The sequence below is a fragment of the Homo sapiens genome, chromosome 2 (assembly GCF_000001405.40).
Source record: "Homo sapiens chromosome 2, GRCh38.p14 Primary Assembly".
Lineage (NCBI taxonomy): Eukaryota > Metazoa > Chordata > Mammalia > Primates > Hominidae > Homo > Homo sapiens.
In genome coordinates, this window is record NC_000002.12 from 128110132 (window position 1) to 128130696 (window position 20565).

Sequence of the window (20565 nt, forward strand, 5' to 3'; positions counted from 1 at the left end):
TTCAGACAAAGGAGGATATTTGAAAGATAATTGCAGGCTTGATTTGAATATTAATTTGGTAACTAATGTACCAGCTTTTTGCCCAAAGGTGGGTTTCCTGTGGTAGACAACTCTGCTATGTATCATTTTGCTGACTGGCTAGGGCAGCAAGCCCTCTGTACCTCCTCTAATGCTGTTCATAAACAGAACCGTGATCTCTCCGTGGGGTTGGCCGGCCCTCTCAGTACTGCTAATGGCAGTTAGGTGGTGTAGGTCTTCTTTAGTGAGATTGGCTCCCCAGCACCCATCCTCTGCCCACCAAATGGCATTAGTGCTTCTTACTCAGAGTGCCGACCAAAAAACAGCGTGCGTTCCAGCCATCTCCGGGTCAAGGCATGGACATTCAGAAATGGCTGCATGGTGATACAGTAGTGCTGTCTCTTGGGGGAAACAAAATTGATGGCTTTGTAATTCTTTTAAAAAACTTTAATTTGCTACAACAATAATGCACACCTTTATGAAGAAAAGAACAACGGTGTCTCCTCTCTCTGAGAGGCGGTAACTGCTTTTAATGGTTTGGCATATATACCTTCAGACTTTTTTCTATGGTTTTAAATTTATACATGTAGGTAGTTTTATTTTTATAAAAGGTATCTTTCAATTTAGTACAAGTGGGTATACCTCGTTATTTTTAACACATGCATAACCTAGGTAAGACTGTCCCGTAATTGGTAATTTACCTCTTACCGATGGATTTTTAAGTCATTTCCTCCTGTTACAATAAGGCTATATGGAGCATCTGTATTCATGTCTTTACTTTCTGCTGAGTTGTATAGTTTATTATAATAGAGACTGGTAGGTCATAAAGTCTGTGCATTAAGATCTGTTAATATCTTGATGCCATCCTTAGATAAGTTTTTTTGGGAGAAGTTTTAAAGTTTATGAGGAAAACTGAAATGTTAAGTCCATTGGGGGCACAAGCCTGTAGTCCCAGCACTTTGGCAGGCTGAGGCAGGAGGATCACTTGATCCCAGGAATTCCAGACCAACCGGTGCAACAAAGTGAGACCCAGTTTCTCCAAAAAGTAGCTGGGTGTGGTGGCAGTAACCACGCACACGCCTTTGGTCCCAGCTACTCGGGAGGCTGTGGTGGGAGGATCACTTTAGCCCAGGAGGTAGAGACTGCAGTGAGCCCTGTTCATGCCACTGCACTCTACCTTGGGCAACAGAGTGAGACCCTGACTCCAAAACAAAAACAGAAACAAAAACGTCCATTAGGAAGATCATAGTAGTAAAAATAGTAGAGGAGATAGACTTAGTAGAATTGGCAAGTAATATGCTGAATGTCATCCTGTGCTTTTTGCATTATTTATACTTATATTTTTATTTATTTATTTATTATTTATTTATTTTTGAGACGGAGTCTCGCTCTGTCGCCCAGGCTGGAGTGCAGTGGTGCCATCTTGGCTCACTGCAAGCTCCGCCTCCCAGGTTCATGCCATTCTCCTGCCTCAGCCTCCCAAGTACAGGCACCCACCACCATGCCCGGCTAGTTTTTTGTATTTTTAGTAGAGACGGGGTTTCACTGTGTTAGCCAGGATAGTCTTGATCTCCTGACCTCGTGATCCGCCCGCCTCGGCCTCCCAAAGTGCTGGGATTACAGGCGTGAGCCACCACGACCGGCCTATACTTATATTTTTAAATAAAAAGCTAATCATATTCTATTTATATGGTAGAAAAATATACTTGGCCAGCCGTGGTGGCTTACGCCTGTAATCCCAGAACTTTGGGAGGCTGAGGTGGGTGGATCGCTTGAGTCAGGAGTTTGAGACCAGCCTGGGCAACATGACAAAACCCATGTCTACAAAATATACAAAATTTAGTTGGGCATGATGTCGTGCACCTGTAGTCCCTCCTTGAGCTCTGGAGGTCGAGGCTGCAGTGAGCTGAGCGATCACGCGACTGTGCTCTAGCCTAAGTGACAGACTGAGGACTTCTCAAAATATAACATAATATAACATATTATATTGGCCAGGCCTGGTGGCTTTTGCCTGTAATGCCAGCACTTTGGGAAGCTGAGGTGGGTGGATCACCTGAGGTCAGGAGTTTGAGACCAGCCTGGCCAACATGATGAAACACTGTCTCTACTAAAAATACAAAAATTAGCCGGGTGTGGTGGTGGATGCCTGTAATCCCAGCTACTGAGGAGGCTGAGGCAGGAGAATCACTTGAACCCAGGAGGGAGAGTTGCAGTGAGCTGAGACCATGTCATTGCACTCCAGCCTGAGCAACAGGAATGAAACTCCATCTCCAAAAAAAAAAAAACCCCCCAAAAAATACTATGTTATATATATATATATATATTACATACATACATACTCAAGTTTTAGTAGTCATTTGAATATGTATCCTGTTTTGGCCCTTTTCCTCCCCTTTTAGGAATTGGTAGCTGTTATTAATTGAGATTTATTTTATTCGTTTTTTTTTTTTTGAGACAGGGTCCCGTTCTGTCACCCAGGGTGGAGTCCAGTGGAATGATCATGGATCACTGCACCCTCGACCTCTGGGGCTCAGGTGATCCTCTCACCTTAGCCTCCCAAGTAGCTAGGACTACAGGTGCATGCCACCATACCCAGCTAATTTTCGTTATTTATTGTAGAGTCGAGGTTTTGCTATGTTGCCCAGGCTTTGTCTTAGTTATGATTACAGGCATCATGCACTGGACCTGCCAGTGTTTACATTTTATAGTTAGTATTTTTTATAATGTACTTTTGTTATTTTTAATCATGAATAAATAAGACTCATACCTGATAGTAATCTTAGTAAGTGAAAAATATTTAAGATCATGCTACCCTTCATATTAAGATGCTTATAATCTTTATTTGAATTTTCATAACTGTACTTTATATTTTGTGACATTTTTAGTGTTTCACAATTATTTTTAAAGTTTTGAGCTTTTATTATTTATTTTCAGACCCAAACCTTTATTGTTCAAAGGAGATCACAGATATCCCTCGTCTAATCCTGAAAGCCCTGTGGTGATTTTCTACTCTGAGATTGGCTCTGAGGAATTTTCCAATTTTCACCGCCAGCTTATATCAAAAAGCAATGCAGGCAAAATCAATTATGTATTCAGACATTATATATTTGTAAGTATTGACTTATTTTACACCTGTTTTGAATGTAATTTGCCTAGCATGACTTTAGAACATAAGCTAATAATCTCCCTCTTTATAAAAAAATCTAGTTATTTGAATCCCTTTTTTGACAAATCCAGTAGTTTCATTGAGTCTATTATTTGCACATATGATGTGCTTTGCTTGGCTTTCTGAAGAAATATAAAACATGCTAAAAAAGTAGCTCGATAAAGTTTACATTTTATTTCAAAATGAACCATGTAAATAATCTTTTCTGATTTTAATATGGTCATCATACTATGGAACTGATTGTTGAATTCAGTTTCCTTTCCAACCTTTTTTCTTCTGTTTTCTCTTTGCCACCTTTTTATTTGGTGGAAGGGGGAGGATTTTCTAAACAGGCGATTCATAGGTAGACTTGATGTAATATTAAGCTTTTAAGACTCTGTGTAGGCCGGGCGCGGTGGCTCACGCCTGTAATCCCAGCACTTTGGGAGGCCGAGGCGGGCGGATCACGAGGTCAGGAGATCGAGACCATCCTGGCTAACACAGTGAAACCCCGTCTCTACTAAAAAATACAAAAAATTAGCCGGGCGTGGTGGCGGGCGCCTGTAGTCCCAGCTACGCGGGAGGCTGAGGCAGGAGAATGGCGTGAACCCGGGAGGCGGAGCTTGCAGTGAGCCGAGATCGCGCCACTGCACTCCAGCCTGGGCGACAGAGCGAGACTCCGTCTCAAAAAAAAAAAAAAAAAGACTCTGTGTAATATTTAGTCATTTAAAATATTTATATGTAAAGGTTGTTAGCCCTTTAAAGTTTCTATGTCATAATAAGCTCAGTACTAAGTTCATGCAAAAAAAATAAAATTTTATTTATTGATTTATTTATTTTTGAGACAGAGTCTCGCTCTGTCGCCCAGGCTGGAGCACAGTGGCGCGATTTCAGCTCACTGCAACCTCCGCCTCCTGAGTTCAAGTGACTCTCCTGCCTCAGCCTCCCGAGTAGCTGGGATTACAGGCACTCACCATCATGCCGGCTAATTTTTTGTATTTTTAGTAGAGAGGGGGTTTCACCATGTTGGCCAGGCTGGTCTCAAATTCCTGACCTCAGGTGATCTGACCGCCTCAGCCTCCCAAAGTGCTGGGATTACAGGCGTGAGTCACTGTGCTTGGCCATAAAATTTTAAATGAAAATTTGTACAAGCAGAAAGTTTTATTGAAGTCCAGTTTTTGATTCTCCCTCTGCCCCCTTCATTGCTGTTAGGATGGATGTTAATGTCTGAAGGGCCATCTTCAGTCAGGATGCTGGTGAGCCTGTGACATCTGGTCACTCCAAGCTCCGCTCGAAGGCATTTAAATTTAATAAAAAGCATACTCCCATGGGCCTCAAAAAACACCTCTGGGACTGAGACCTCACCAGCTTTCAACCCTGCTCTGTAGGTTCTGGAACTTCTTTTTCTCTTTCTCCATTTCTTATGGTTGGGACCATAGCACTTTCAGCTGTCCATTCATCTGGTTTTGCTTCTACCTTGGAATTCCATTCCCACAGTTGTGGCAGCCTACAACATGTAAAGGAGCCTAGGATTTTATAAGGAGAGAATATAGACTCTGGATTGATTTTTAAAACATATAATCAATATTTTAATGGTAGATACGTGCTTTTATTACTCTTGAGTTTTTGGTAGGTTTTGGACTAAAAAAATTTGTTTAGTGAACTTTCTTAGCCATATAGTTAATATCGTTAAAAAACAATTTAAAGATATTTTGAGGGCATAATCCGAGGTAATGGCTAGTAGATGCAACATTAACATGGTCATGCCATGTACACTGTGACATAGAAAGAGCTAGGTGGTAATGATGGAATTCTTGCTTTACTTGCAGAATCCCAGGAAGGAGCCTGTTTACCTCTCTGGCTATGGCGTGGAATTGGCCATTAAGAGCACTGAGTACAAGGCCAAGGATGATACTCAGGTGAAAGGTGAATTTGTAAAAATGGGACCAGTGTGCTTTCTTCAAATATGAGTTAAAGGGGAGTTTGTTTCCATATGAAAAATAATAGATTTAGGTGTATGCTGAACCTGTGTTTGCATCCTGGTTCTGTTACACCTGAGTGGGTGACCCTTAAGCAGATTCTCTAGATCCCAGTTTTCTCTTGTGTAAAGTACAGGTAATGATACATGTCTCTTCCAGTATTGGGGAGGAATAAATAAGGTGTGTAAGGAAAGAATTTTTTCATGTACTAAAAAAAAAAAAAAAAAAAAAACAAAAACCCTCAAAAAAAGAACCTGGCACAGTGGTTTGCCCAAAAACGTTCAGCAAGTAGTAGCTATTGTTGTTGATGTTATAGGGGATTTACAAATAGCCATTTATTTGTGACTCCAACGTGAAATCTTAAAGTATCCTATATTTAACAAACAATTTTATGTTGTTTATTATTTCTGTACATGGAACAGTTTACTGTGGATACTTTCTGTTGTAATACTCTAGGGTTTTGAATTTATTATTTTATCTACAAGTTTTAAATGCTATTTTTTCATTTCTTTTATGCTTATTTTAAAGATAAAAAATCAATTTGAGTAGTAAAGCAGATGGAAAATAAACTACTACCTCATTCTATTTTCTTCAATAATTGTATTAGGATTAAGTTGACTAATTATAAATTCTTCAGAATTTTAATATTGAAAAATTCTTTGTTCATAGTGTTTGACTATTAATTTCATAATTGTCCATAATGTTTAAATGTATTAATTTTGAAGTTTTTAGCATGTAAAATTTTCCAAAGTTTAAGGAAAAATGCATTCTTTATCCAGGAACACAGGAGATATTAAAATGCATTTATCCTGTTTGTTTAAAGAACCATTGCCAAAGGGTAATTGTGATAGTCAGCATTTTAAATGGTATAATTTCAGGGGTTTCTGATTTTTTTCACATTATTCAATTTTATGAAGTTTATGAGACTAGTAACGTTTTTGTTTCAAATCTGAGCAATTATTAATAATATGTATTTTCTATTCTTTCATAGGAACTGAGGTAAACACCACAGTGATTGGTGAAAATGATCCTATTGATGAGGTTCAGGGGTTCCTCTTTGGAAAATTAAGGTATGTATGTTCTGTGTATTTTGGGAAACGCCCTCATTTTCTTTAAGCCTCCAGGCTTTCTTGCATTTTAAGCATCATCTTACTCATTACTGTCTGAGTTTCTCATCTCCTAACAGTACTTTATGTATGCAATCCTACGTGGAGAGTCAACCACTTAGTTTATAGTACAGTTTATGATTTCACATTATTCTTTTTTTTTTGGAGACAGGGTCTCGCTGTGTCGCCCAGGTTGGTGCAGTGGCGTGATCTCGACTCACTGCAACCTCCACTTTCCACGTTCAAGTGATTATTCTGTCTCAGCCTCCCAAGTAGCTGGGATTACAGGCATGCACCACCACACCCGGCTAATTTTTGTATCTTTAGCAGAGATGGTGTTTCGCCACGTTGGCTAGGCTGGTCTCAAACTCCTGGCCTCAAGTGATCCACTCGCCTCAGCCTCCCAAAGTGCTGGGATTACAGGCATGAGCCACTGCGTCCAGCCTGAAGCACATTATTCTTAATTGATAGTATGGCTACCTGCCCACAGTTTAAGTGCGTTTTTCTTGCCTCTCAGTTGATGGCATTAAGTTACATACCATTTTTTGATTGCCATAAGAGGAGAAATTGAATTGTTTCACTTAATATTTTCCCAGGAAAAAATGTATTTAAAAGTTTTTTTCAAACATAGTCTGAGCAAAAATGCGAAATAGATATAGTAAATTTTATACATGCTCAATGGGAAAAACATTTTATTATTATTTTTTATTTATTTATTTATTTTTTTTGAGACAGAGTCTTGCTCTTTTGCCCAGGCTGGAGTGCAGTGGTGCAATCTCAGTTCACTGCAACCTCCGTCTCCTGGGTTCAAGTGATTCTCCTGCCTCAGCCCCCTGAGTAGCTAGGATTACAGGCACCCATCACCATGCCTGGCTAACTTTTGTATTTTTAGTAGAGACGGGGTTTCACCATGTTGGCCAGGCTGGTCTTGAACTCCTGGCCTCAAGTGGTCTGCCTGCTTCGCTCTCCCAGAGTGCTGGGAATACAGGCGTGAGCCATGGCCCCCAGCTCAGAAAAAACATTTTATTAGAATTTGCTTTATGTGAAAGGAAATGGTATTTTAAAAAATTCCATAATTATGTAATCATTTAATGAAAGCATCATCATAACCTGTTAATGTAAGCATCATAGTATTTTATAGCTGGAAAGTCTTCTTAACTGTTATTCTTTTTTTTTTTTTTTGAGACGGAGTCTTGCTCTGTTGCCTAGGCTGGAGTGCAGTGCCACGATCTTGGCTCACTGCAAGCTCCGCCTCCTGGGTTCACGCTATTCTCCTGCCTTAGCCTCCCAAGTAGTTGGAACTACAGGCATCCGCCACCACACCCGGCTAATTTTTTGTATTTTTTTTTTTAGTAGAGATGGGGTTTCACTGTGTTAGCCAGGATGATCTTGATCTCCTGACCTCCTGGTCCGCCCGCCTTGGCCTCCCAAAGTGCTGGGATTACAGGTGTGAGCCACCGTGCCTGGCCTGGAACGTCTTCTTAGCTGTTATTCTAAAAGTTGAAGTTATTTCCCTCATGGCTTGATAATTGTTTAGAGCCCTGAATTCTGCTTTATCTGGCAGTTTTTATTAGGACATTTTGTGTGTGTGTGTGTGTCTGTGTGTGTGTGTGTGAGAGAGAGAGAGAGAGAGAGAGGGAAAGAGAGAGAAAGTGATCAAATAGAAATAGTATATGCTAGACTCAGTTTTATATACTTCAGCTTTGAGATTTGGCCAAGTGAAATAACCAGATTAACAATTTAGAAGAGATATCTTAGTTTACATTGAATTACATGTTGAGTTCATCCTACATGTATATACATTTCTTCTCGTTTAACATCAGTTTTGACCTTGTTAGAATGTAATCATATTCTATTTTTATTTGACTCAGGCTTTCAGAATCCTTTTCTAAAAAAATTTTTTCGAGACAGGGCTTTGCTCTGTCACTCAGACTGGAGAGCAGTGGCACAATCACGGCTCACTGCAGCCTTGACTTCCTGGGCTCAAGGGATCCTCCTACCTCACCCTCTCGAATAGCTGGGACTACAGTTGTGTGCCACCATGCCTGGCTAATTTTCAAATGTTTTGTAGAGATAGAGTCTTGCTATATTGCCTAGGCTGGTCTTGAACTTTGGGTTCAAGTGATTGTCCTGCCTTGGCTTCCCAAAGTGTTAGAATTACAGGTGTGAGCTACCACTCCCAGCTTCAGAATCTTTTTTCACATTTGTGGTGTTTATGTTTATTTTTTGGGTAGCATGATGATTTTATGCATTCACAGCACAAAGGTATTATCAAGAATATTGAGGCTGTTTTACCTTTTGGACATTCAGAATAGTTATTTAGCTATCCAAAGTAATTAGACCTTTTTTTTTTGTTTGAGACAGGCTCAGTCTGTCACCAAGGCTGGAGTGCAGTGGCGCCATCATGGCCTGCTGCAGCCTCCACCTCCCGAGGCTCAGGTGATCCTCTCACTTCAGTTTTTGTATTTGTGGTAGAGATGGGGTTTTGCCATGTTGCCCAGGCTGGTCTTGAACTCCTGGGCTCAAGGGATCTGCCCACCTTGGCCTCCCAAAGTGCTAGGATTACAGGTGTGAGCCACCGCGCCTGGCCTCATTTTTGGTATTTAAGAGTTTGTATAGGTTGAGTGTCTTTTTTCTGAAATGCTTAAACTAGAACTAGAGTGTCAGATTTCAATTTTGGAATATTTGCATGATACTTACCAGTTGGGCACCCCAAGTCTGAAAATCTGAAACCTGAAATGCTTCAATGAACATTTACTTTGATGTCATGTTGACATTTAATGAGTTTTGGATTTTGGAGCATTTTGGATTTCAGAATTTCGGATTTGGGATGCTCAGGCTGTAGTAACTGACAGGAAGTGGGTTGGTTGGACAGTGAACAGTCTGAGGGAATTTTAATTTCTGTATGTTGTATTAAGAAATTTTGAGTTAGCCGGGCGCGGTAGCTCACGCCTGTAATCCCAGCACTTTGGGAGGCTGAGGCGGGCGGATCACGAGGTCAGGAGTTCACGCCATTGCACTCCAGCCTGGGCAACAAGAGTGAAACTCTGTCTCAAAGAAAAAAAAAAAGAAATTTTGAGTTTATGGCATTTAAAAGAAAAAAGTAATGTACTAGCCGTCTGTCTGATGTAAATGTTATATCTCTGCCCCAGATCACCTCTGCTTTACTATAGTGGAATATGCTATATTTAAAGATAAAACCCAGTAACTATGGTTAGCCTAAATTGTATTCATGTTACTAAGAGATTTATGAGCATGTAGGCTAAAGGAAACTCATTTTGGGACTGGCAGCAGTTTTTTTCCCTTCAGTTTTACTTTGAGAAATTACAGTGATTCACAAAAGCATAGAGAAAAATTTATTCCCACATACTTACAACCCAGAATAGATTGCTGTTGTCATACTTGCTTTTCTCTTCTATAGAACTATTTATTAAGCTTTCTTTTTTTCCCAGTATAAGCCTTTTTTTACTTTAAGAACAAAGGAAAACAAACAAAAAATAAAACAGGTCAGTAAACACTGCAGGTATAGCCGAAGTCTCCTTTGTTCCTTTCTTTCTTTCTTTTTTTCTTTTTTTTTTTAAGAGACAAGGTCTTGCTGTGTTGCACAGGCTGACCTGGAACTCCTGGGCTCAAGTGATCCTCCTGCCTTGGCCTCCTCAGTGGCTGGGATTACAGGCGTGAGCCACCACACCTGGCCTGAAAAGTCTCCTTTGTTAACCACTCTCAGTCTCCTTATCTACCTCATAGGGAATCACTATTCTAGCAATTTTTCTATAAATTTTATGAGTTTTAAACTAGCTTCTAATTTTCTATTTTTTTTAAAGAGGAATAATTATACTTCATTTTTTCCCCCTATGTCGTAGAAAATTTCCTAGGGTTGGGAGAGGAAAACCATGAAGATAAAGTTGGTTTACTTCTTCTTATGCTCCGGGAAAGAAAAAATAATGAAAAGGACTGATTTTTATGTTTCTTTTAGAGATCTGCACCCCGACCTGGAGGGACAGTTGAAAGAACTCAGAAAGCATCTTGTAGAGAGCACCAATGAAATGGCACCTTTAAAGGTTTGGCAGTTGCAAGGTAATGAAAACAGGGAGAGGTCATTGGCCTACTTTTTGGCTAAGTTTTATGGCTTTAAAAAATGCAAAATTTGAATTTAATTGTATGTAGTACGTGATTCTGAAGGTGCCTCAGATTTTAAAGATAAGAGTGATTAATTACGATTAATCAGGGAAGAAAGGAAGTCCTTTTGTAAACAGATAACACTAGGTAGAAGTAATATATATAAACAAATGGCAAGTCTTTCTGTGTGACCATACATAAACTTGTAATACGAGAAGCAGGTCATAGTCCTAAGTTCCTATATATATACATTTCTTCAACTGTTTATCTATAGAGTGTTTAAGACATGTCATTGTGGCAGGATGTATGTGTTTTTCTCTGTTCCAAAGAACTATTTTTCAAGTTTTTTTCCCCAACGTCATTTACTAAAAGTCTTCATGCTGTATTTTGTGATGTATTGTAAATTTAGAAAAGGGAAAAGGACTTGGGCCTGATTTAGCCTGTGCTACATGCGTTAGTGTAGCGTTAGTGTGTGCCCTAGTGTTTTCTGCAGATATATCAGAAACGGCTCAACTGAATACTCCAGAGATCTTTGAAGTGAATAAAACCTGAAATTAAATCATGGGCACTCTCTGGAATGGTTGCATTCGAAGATATTCTTAATTACCATGAAAAGAGTGGGAAGTAAATTTGGATTTTGTTTTCTGCTTCTCATTGCATTAGATTAATCCACTTTTAATTATATTTGACATTGTTGCAGATCTCAGTTTCCAGACTGCTGCTCGAATCTTGGCTTCTCCTGTTGAGTTGGCTTTGGTTGTCATGAAGGATCTTAGTCAGAATTTTCCTACCAAAGCCAGGTAATGTAGAATAATGCTCTTCTCCTTAACATCATACCCAGTCATCGTCATGTTCACTTGCCAAATGAGGTAATAACAATATGAAAATTCCTAGAAAATTAAGATTCTTTTTTTTTTTTTTTTTGAGATGGAGTCTCACTCTTGTTGCCGAGGCTAGAGTGCAGTGGTGCAATCTCGGCTTACCACAACCTCCGCCTCCCAGGTTCAAGCGATTCTCCTGCCTCAGCCTCCCAAGTAGCTGGTACTACAGACGTGCGTCACCATGCCCAGCTAAGTTTTTGTATTTTTAGTAGAGACAGGGTTTCACTGTGTTGGCCAGGCTAGTCTTGAATGCCTGACCTCAAGTGATCTGCCCGCCTTGGCCTCCCAAAGTGCTGAGATTACAGGCGTGAGCCACCACGCCTGGCGAAAATTAAGATTCTTTATGACCACCACCACTACTATTGCAGATGGTGCTCTGTGTCTTGAAGATGGCAAGACCATGCATTGTGTGGTTGAAGTGACAGATTTAGGTTATGTTCTTAGCACTTCCACTTATTAGTTGTGTGACCTTTGCAAATAAACAACCTCAGTTTCCTCAGCAGTGGAACGAGAATTAAAATACCTGCCTTTCAGGATTGGATGAGTCTTGCTCATATAACTAACTAATCTAGAGTCTGTCCCAGACCATAGTGGTTTTCTTCATGAAAGGTTTTACATATGTCATCTTATTGAATCTTGAAGAAACTGAGTCATAGAGGCTAAGTGACTAGTTCATAGTGACAGAATAAGATTTTGTTTGGACCGGGCTTGGTGGCTCATGCCTGTAATCCCAGCACTTTGGGAGGCCAAGGCCTGGCTAATTTTTGTATTTTTAGTAGAGACAGGGTTTTGCCATGTTGATCAGACTGGTCTGGAACTCCTGACCTCAGGTGATCCACCCGCCTTGTCTGGTGCTCAAAAGGGGGAAGTGGGCCAGGCATGGTGGCTCACACCTGTAATACCAGCACTTTGGGACGACAAGGTGGGTGGATCACTTGAGGTCAGGAGTTCCAGACCAGCCTGGCCAACATGGTGAAACCGCTTTTCTACTGAATATACAAAAAATTAGCTGGGCGTGGTGGCAGGGGTCTGTAATCCCAGTTACTCGGGAGTCTGATGCAGGAGAATCGCTTGAACCCGGGAGGTGAAGGTTACAGTGAGCCAAGATCATGCCATTGCACTCCAGCCTGAGCAACAAGAACGAAACTCCGTCTAAAAAAAAAAAAAAAGATTTTGTTTGTACGTTTTCTGACATTGCCTTCAATTCTGTAATATTGCTGCACATCTCATAAATGCAAGGCAAAATTGTTTTAAAAGCCACATTTTTAGAAACTATTGACTTGAATGGTTCCCAGTCATTTTCTTGAGTCACTGAATGAAGTGTTTTGACTTCTGATGTGAGATATTTTATAACTAAGTTTGTTTATTTGGGACTTAGACATCATGTAGTGAATTCTCATTTAGTCCAGCTGCTACTTGAAGGTATACATGAATGATTCCACCTCCACCATAAGTGCTTAAGTGGGAAGAGCAATCTGCTGCCTTGGTGTATTCAACATTATCCTTTTAGCCTGAGAGTAGTAGAGATCATATATAGAAATGGGGTGCATATGTTTTAAGAACTTGGAAACAACTGCACCTGTTTTATAATGCTATAGCTGCTACATTTCTTTGATTTTGTATCTTACAAAAAATATACACATCTGAGAAAGGAGAAATATATTTATCAATTATAAAAATTTAAGGTTTTTCCCATTCAGTTTTTTCTAATTTATTGAATAATGTGTTTCATATTTTAAAATATGGAAATTGAAGACTTTATATCAAATATTAAGCCAAGCACTCATAATGTTTTTATTTCCTTAGAGCAATAACAAAAACAGCTGTGAGCTCAGAACTTAGAACCGAAGTGGAAGAGAATCAGAAGGTATTCACCGATAGAAAATACTGACCTGTTTTGTATTCTATCTTTAAAGATAAGGAAATCTGAGTTTAATCAGCAGCATTTAACAGTGTCACTCTTCTTTTATCTAAGATGGTGATTTTTTCATTTCTGTGATCTTTGCATTTTTAGTTTTTAATGAAAGTTCAGTATGCACATAACTGAAAGCATGAAGTGGTGCTACCGTGTTGTTTAGGAAAGCAGCACCCCTAACATGTCTCACCCCGTTCCTGAAGACATTCACTTTCGACATTTAGCTGATTCTTCTGATATTTCTCTCCAGAATTCTAGCTTACATTGGTACTTTATTTTTCACGTTCAGACATTATATATTGGCCTCCTATTTAAACAGTGTGGTTTAACTTTCTTTCACTGCCTCCCCCTCAGTGTCCCACCACTATTCTATATTGGCACTGTTCCTGTCTATCCATCTTCTCAATATTGGATGTTGTGGTTTTACCTGGTTTTGATGTGGTCTGAGATGGACTGGTTGCTCTTTATGCCCAGGGCATGCCGGTCATCCTGAGACCTTCCTTTAACCTCCTTTGTTGGATCCTCTGTTGCTTGATTCCATGTCTTTTGTGTTTTTGGTTTATTTCCTTGTTTTGGTACAGCTCATCATTCTTTGTGAGAAAAGTTGCCTGGGAGGCAAATTTGAAATTCTGAGAAATCAACTTTCTACTTGTTTTTGTTTTTGTTTTGGAGATGGAGTTTTGCTCTGTCACCCAGGCTGGAGTGCAGTGGCGTGATCTCAGCTCACTGCAAGCTCCGCCTTCCAGGTTCACGCCATTCTTCTTCCTCAGCCTCCCAAGTAGCTGGGACCACAGGCGCCTGCTACCACTCCCGGCTAATTTTTTTGTATTTTTAGTAGAGACGGGGTTTCACCGTGTTAGCCAGGATAGTCTCGATCTCCTGACCTCATGATCCACCCGCCTCGGCCTCCCAAAGTGCTGGGATTACAGGCATGAGCCACCGCGCCCAGCCAACTTTCTACTTGTTTTTATTGATAGCTCGTTATACAATATTGGCAGGTTATACAATTTTAGGTTGGAAGTCATTTCAAAATTTGAAACAAGGCATCGCCTCTTGGAATTTTAGTTTCCATTGTGGCTGTTGAGAAATCTGAAGCCTTTGTATGAGATCTCTTAAGGATCTTTTCTTTGACTCTAGCTATCTGAAATTTCATAATTATGTGTGTTTTTAAAAAAATCTCTGTACTGTTAGGTGGTTCGTGGGCCCTTAAAATCTTGAAAATCATTTCCTTTAGCTTTGGGAAATTTTCTTAAATTCTTTGTTTGTGTTTCTTCTCTCTGGTTTCTCTTTCCTCTTTTCCTAGAAATATGTATTTATTTATTTTTTAAATGTTGCACCTCTGACTAGTTTGGCCTTTTAAAAGTCTCTTCTTTCCTATTCTTTTCTCTTTTTCAAAAAAAAAAAACACTTTCTGGTAAGAGTTTTTAACCTGTGTGTATCTTTTTTCCTTTAGTTGTCAAATATTTAATTTTCAGGGGTTTTTTTTGTTCTTTTTATGGTGTTCCCGTGTATCTCTGAAGATAATGGTGCTTGTGTTTTCTGTCTGCAAAGTCTGTTTCCTCTTAAGCTGCGTTTTTGGGTTTTGGTCTTTTCAGTGGTGGAGGCCTTCCTTAGGTGTCTGGTGATCACACTCAGAGTGAGGCACTAAGGACCTGGTTGGAAGTCCTAATGATGTGGCTTTGTGACTGTAAGGTGTTCTGTTGTGACCATTTCCTAGGGAACCCCAGTTACAGTATCTTTGTTCCTTTTCTTTTGGGTTGGTCAGTCCTTGTCAGTCTCCAGAAAAGGATCCGTCAGTCTTCTGGCTGGTGGGTGAAATCTGTTTGCTAGAGCTGTAGAAGCACAGTAGGGAAGAGCGTTTGGTGACTTGCCTTCGATTCCCCATTATGTGTGTGGGGTCCCTGTCCTCCTTGTGCTTGATTTGCCATTGTCCACAGATGTTCTGTTTTGTTCTTTTCCAGGGAATGAGCCTTCATTTTGCTGGAGTAGGGGGTAGCACCGACCTCAGGCACCTGGCTGTGGGAAATCAGTTGGGGGGCTGGGGGGTTTTGTCTTAAAGGGCTTTATATCAGAACTTAGCTAATAATCACCCCTTGTACATGTCCTGTGTGCTGCCAGTTCCTGAGCCTTTGGTGAGTTCCACAGGGTGACACAGGTTTCTTGTTGACCTTTCCTGTTGTTGGTCTAACATTCAGCTTTCTCAGGGCTGTTGGGACAGTGACTCCTCACCCACCTCTCTTCCAGCTTCCAAAATTTGGTGGCCTTTTTCTTTCCTGTTCTCTTTGTCTTTGTGGATTTATAACTGAAAAAGTAGCTCTAGTGACATTTCAGTAGAATTCAGGAGGGAAAAATGTTCTTATGTTCAATTCACTATCTTTACCCCAAATTTCCTTAATCTTTATATCTGAGATATTAGTGAATTAAGTACATCTGAGGGATAAATAAATGTTTCTCAAATGTTTACTAAATTGAAAAACCTTATTGGGAGTTTTTATTTACTTTTTAGTTTCCAAAGTAAAAATATCAAATATTATCTTAAATTTAGGGCCTTTTTCCCCACTAAGGAAGACAAAATTATACTATATTGCTGTTTCATGGAGTCTTAATTTTTTTTGAGTAAAACATTTTATTAAAGCATAAATATATACTTTTTTTTTTTTTTTTTTGAGATAGAGTCTTGCTGTGTCGCCCAGGCTGGAGTGCAGTGGCATGATCTCAGCTCACTGTAACCTTCGCCTCCCGGTTCAAGTGATTCTCCTGCCTCAGCCTCCCGAGTAGCTGGGACTACAGGCGCGTGCCACCACGCCCAGCTAATTTTTTTATATTTTTAGTAGAGACGGGGTTTCACCATGTTGGCCAGGATGATCTCGATCTCCTGACCTCATGATCTGCCTGCCTTGGCCTCCCAAAGTGGTGGGATTACAGGCATGAACCATCATGCTTGACCAAAATGTATTTTTTTTTTGAGACAGAGTCTTGCTCTGTTGCCCAGGCTGAATGCAGTGGCATGATCTAGGCTCATGGCAACCTCTGCCTCCCAGGTACAAGCAGTTATCCTGCCTCAGCCTCCTAAGTAGCTAGAATTACAGGTACCTGCCACCACGCCCAGCTAATTTTTTGTAATTTTAGTAGAGATGGGGTTTCACCATGTTGGTCAGGCTGGTCTCAAACTCCTGACCTCAGGTAATCCACCCGCCTCGGCCTCTCAAAGTGCTGGGATTACAGGCATGAGCCACTGTGCCCTGCCCAAAATGTATATATGAAACACAAAGAGGGAAGCACACAAATTCTCAGTCATTCGTTTGATGAACTTTCCCAAAATGAACCCATCTATATTACCAGTGTCCAGACCTAGAAATAGATATGCTATTCACCAGCTCAGGGTCAGTCTTTTTTTTTTTTTTTTTTGAGACAGTCTTGCTCTGTCGTTCAAGCTGGAGTGCAGTGGTGCTATCTCGGCTCACTGCAGCCTCTACCTCCTGGGTTCGAGCGGTTCTTGTGCCTCAGCCTCCTAGGCAGCTGGGACTATAGGAGTACACCACCATAGCTGGTTAATTTTTGTATTTTTAATAGAGACGGGGTTTTGCCACGTTGTCCAGGCTGGTCTCCAACTCCTGGCCTCAAGTGATCCACCTGCCTTGGCCTCCCCAAGTGCTGAGATTACAGGTGTGAGCCTCTGTGCCTGGCCTGGATCAGCCTTTTTTTATCGTCTGATGGTGCTGTGCACTCAGCCAGCGAGTGAGTAGATGTGAATTCCTCTCTCTCGGAAGAAATTCCAGTTCACAATTGATACACCTTTCCATGATCTCCTTATTTTTTTCTCTTCTTTTTAAAATCGAGAAGTAAAAATTGCATATTTTTGTGGTGTACAACATGTTTCGAAATGTGTATACACTGTGGTATTATCCCCTGTCTTACTTGCCATTGAATCCCAACAGCATCTTGAAGCAAATCTTAGCCCTGCCTTAGGATGCCAAGATTTGTACAGGTAGTGAAGCCCAGAAACAATAAAATTTTTTTTAAAACATTCTCTCACAGCTCCCTAATAATTATTAAAATTTTTCAGTATTTCAAGGGAACTTTAGGATTACAACCTGGAGATTCAGCCCTCTTCATCAATGGACTTCACATGGATTTAGATACACAGGATATATTCAGGTATGGATAATATTTTTCATTCTCTGAAAAGTTTTTGTAATGCGTAGCACCTTGTAACATGTTCATATTGCCGTTCCTTCTTGATATGGCATGATGCAAAGTCTGATGGCTTACCAGCCCCCACTGGGTGGACGTAGGTAGTAGGCACATGCCATGATGGGTAGGCAGGATGACATATCTCCATCTTGTGTTACAGTGTGTGTTCAAGGCCTGAGTGTTTTCTGAGGCTGTCCTTTTAGAAGCTATACTTTTCCACTTAACCATGGGAACATAGAAAAGAACAGGTTCTTTGGCTTTTGGAACAGTGTGAAGTAGATTTATTAAAAATAACTGCCTCTGGGCCTGGCACGGTGGCTCATGCCTGAAATCCCAGCACTTTGGGAGGCTGAGGCCGGCGGATCACTTGAGGTCAGGAGTTCAAGACCAGCCTGGCCAACATGGTGAAACCCCATCTCTGCTAAAAATACAAAAATTAGCCATGCCTAGTAGTGTGTATCTGTAGTACCAACTACTTGGAAGGCTGAGGCAGGAGGATCACTTGAACCTGGGAGGCGGAGGTTGCAGTGAGCTGAGATTGCACCCCTGCACTCCAGCCTGGGCAACAGAGTGAGAATCCATCTCAAAAAACAAAAAACAAAAAAAAACTGTCTCTTGTGTCTCAGAAGGTGTTCTGTCTACATATATTATTTGAATATCCACTTTTTGGTAAAATGTGGTTCAGTATTAAATTGCATTCGATTGTCTTCATGATTTTGGGGTGGGTAGCAGACAGGCACAATTCAGACTTTATTCATTTGTTGTTTTGAGATGGAGTCTCAAAAGAAATTTTTTTAATCACATCTTATTTCTCCTTCCTTTCTATCTTTTTTTTTTTTTGGAGACGGAGTCTCACTCTGTTGCCCAGGCTGGAGTCCAGTGGCATGGTCTTGGCTCACTGCAACCTCTGCCTCCCGGGTTCAAGAGATTCTCCTGCCTCACCCTTCTGAGTAGCTGGGATTACAGGCACCTGCCACCATGCCCAGCTATTTTTTTTGTATTTTTAGTGGAGATGGGGTTTCACCATGTTGGCCAGGCTGGTCTCGAACTACTGACCTTGTGATCCGCCCGCCTTGGCCTCCCAAAGTGCTGGGATTACAGGCATGAGCCACCGCGCCCAGCCCTTCATCTCTATCTCTTCTGTCTCTCCCAGCAAACCTCTAAGTTGGGTGTGGATTCTTTCAGGCTTTTTTCTGTGGTCATATGTTTGCCTCTGTGAATTGGTACTGACATTGAAACATATATTAAGCATATATAATGTAGTATCTCTTTTTAATCTTTATTTTGAGATAATTGTAAATACATATGCAGTTATAAGAAAGAATACAGAGAGATTAATGTACTGTTTTTAAAATCATGTGGTGTAAAAGTATAGATTTAGGGTTATTTTATCCTCAATTTGTGTGTTTATTGCTTTTTTAAATTTCTCAATTAATTTGATTTGGCATTGAGGTTGAACTGATACATTTTTTTTCATGGTGAGAATTTTTTTTAAAAGCTTTTTTTCCTAGTAAATATCTCTTTTTGTTTTTCCCCCCAGTCTGTTTGATGTGTTGAGGAATGAAGCTCGGGTAATGGAGGGTCTGCATAGATTGGGAATAGAAGGCCTTTCTCTGCATAATGTTTTGAAGCTGAACATCCAGCCCTCTGAGGCAGACTATGCCGTAGACATCCGGAGTCCTGCTATTTCAGTGAGTATTTTGTTAGGGTGATCAAAGGACTTTCTGACCAGGAATCTTTTTTATGGTTTCTGATTTGTCTCTTATGAGGGTGAAGTTACTCCCACCATCTCTTTTGTTGGTGTGAAAGATTTATAATTGCTTATATGGGACTTTGTGTATGTAATAAAGTAGGCCCTTAAATGCTTCAAAAAGTTGAGTTATTGTTGCTAATGTGGTTAAGACAGTGATTTTTTTTTTTTTTTTTTCAAGACAGAGTCTTGCTCTGTTGTCCAGGCTGGAGTGCAGTGGCGCGATCTTGGCTTACTGCAACCTCTGCCTCCCAGGTTCAAGCAATTCTCCTGCCTCAGCCTCCCGAGTAGCTGGCATTACAGGAGCCTGCCACCACGCCTGACTAATTTTTGTATTTTTAGTATAGACGGGGTTTCACAATATTGGTCAGGCTGGTCTCAAACTCCTGACCTCAGGTGATACACCCACCTCTGCCTCCCAAAGTGCTGCGATTATAGGCGTGAACCAGTGCGCCTGGCCAAGACAGTGATTTTTTTCACTTGAGCATGCCCCTGGTATTCAGCTGAGCATCTCTTGGGAAAAAGCGTTTAGTTTGTATTTTCTCAATTGCATACAGATCTTGTGTGATGTCGTGACATCTGTAAATTAAAACTACTATTGAAAATGTCACTTTTTAGCTAAGAACCTTCTTTAGTAGGATTTTGATATTTGAGATTTGAAGGATTTATATAGACTTTTGCCTGCCATATGATCTTTCTGAGCCTTTGTCTTGTCATCTGTCAGAGAATGTGGGGAATAGGGCTGGGCTTGGTGGCTCGTGCCTGTAATCCCAGCACTTTGGGAGGCCAAGGCGGGTGGATCACCTAAGGTCAGGAGATTGAGACCAGCCTGGCCAACATGGTGAAACCCCGTCTGTACTCAAAATACAAAAATTAGCCGGGTGTGGTGGCACACACCTCCTAATCTTAGCTATTCGGGAGGCTGAGGCAGGAGAATTGCTTCAACCTGGGGGTGGAGGTTACAGGTAGCTGAGATCACGCCACTGCGCTCCAGTCTGGGTGACAGAGCAAGACTCCGTCACAAAAAAAAAAAAAAAAATAGAGAATGTGGGGAATAGTGCCATCTTGGGCAGTTGTGGTAAAAAATAAGGTGAGTGGAGAGCTGATCTTATTTTTTCTTGGTTTCTGTACTGCATTCATTTTAGAAAAATTTTATTTAAGAGAAATAATGTAGAATGTAGATAATCATTACTTGAATTCATACTTGGTGATATAACTTATTTTGATGAAGACATTGTTAATGTCATTTGCTTTTCTGTTAAAAGTACTTATAAAGAGTAAAAGATAATAACATCAACATGACATGTTTATGCAAACATAAAGGGACTAACAACCATAGGACCCATCATCATGCTTACTAAATGTTAACATTTAATCATTTTGTGTCAGATTTAACTGTTTTCTTGGGGGAAGAAACAGTTTTAGTTGAAGCCCTTCTTTGTCCCTTACCAACCACCC

The 20565-nt window shown here is 40.5% G+C and overlaps 1 protein-coding gene across 10 annotated transcripts in view; it reads left to right on the forward strand.

Annotated features, from left to right (window-relative positions):
• The window catches only part of UGGT1 (UDP-glucose glycoprotein glucosyltransferase 1), a 104478-nt gene that overhangs the window by 18932 nt on the left and 64981 nt on the right, over positions 1-20565 (forward strand). For all 10 annotated transcript variants that reach the window (NR_027671.3, NM_020120.4, XM_006712635.5 and 7 more), the window contains exons 6-13: positions 2953-3127; positions 4993-5089; positions 6134-6212; positions 10225-10325; positions 11068-11167; positions 13055-13115; positions 17230-17321; positions 18898-19048. Coding sequence is in view for 9 of the 10 variants with exons in the window: in NM_020120.4 (NP_064505.1) it covers positions 2953-3127; positions 4993-5089; positions 6134-6212; positions 10225-10325; positions 11068-11167; positions 13055-13115; positions 17230-17321; positions 18898-19048 (856 nt within the window). In the remaining variant the exon portion in view is untranslated. The remainder of the gene's footprint in view (positions 1-2952; positions 3128-4992; positions 5090-6133; positions 6213-10224; positions 10326-11067; positions 11168-13054; positions 13116-17229; positions 17322-18897; positions 19049-20565) is intronic.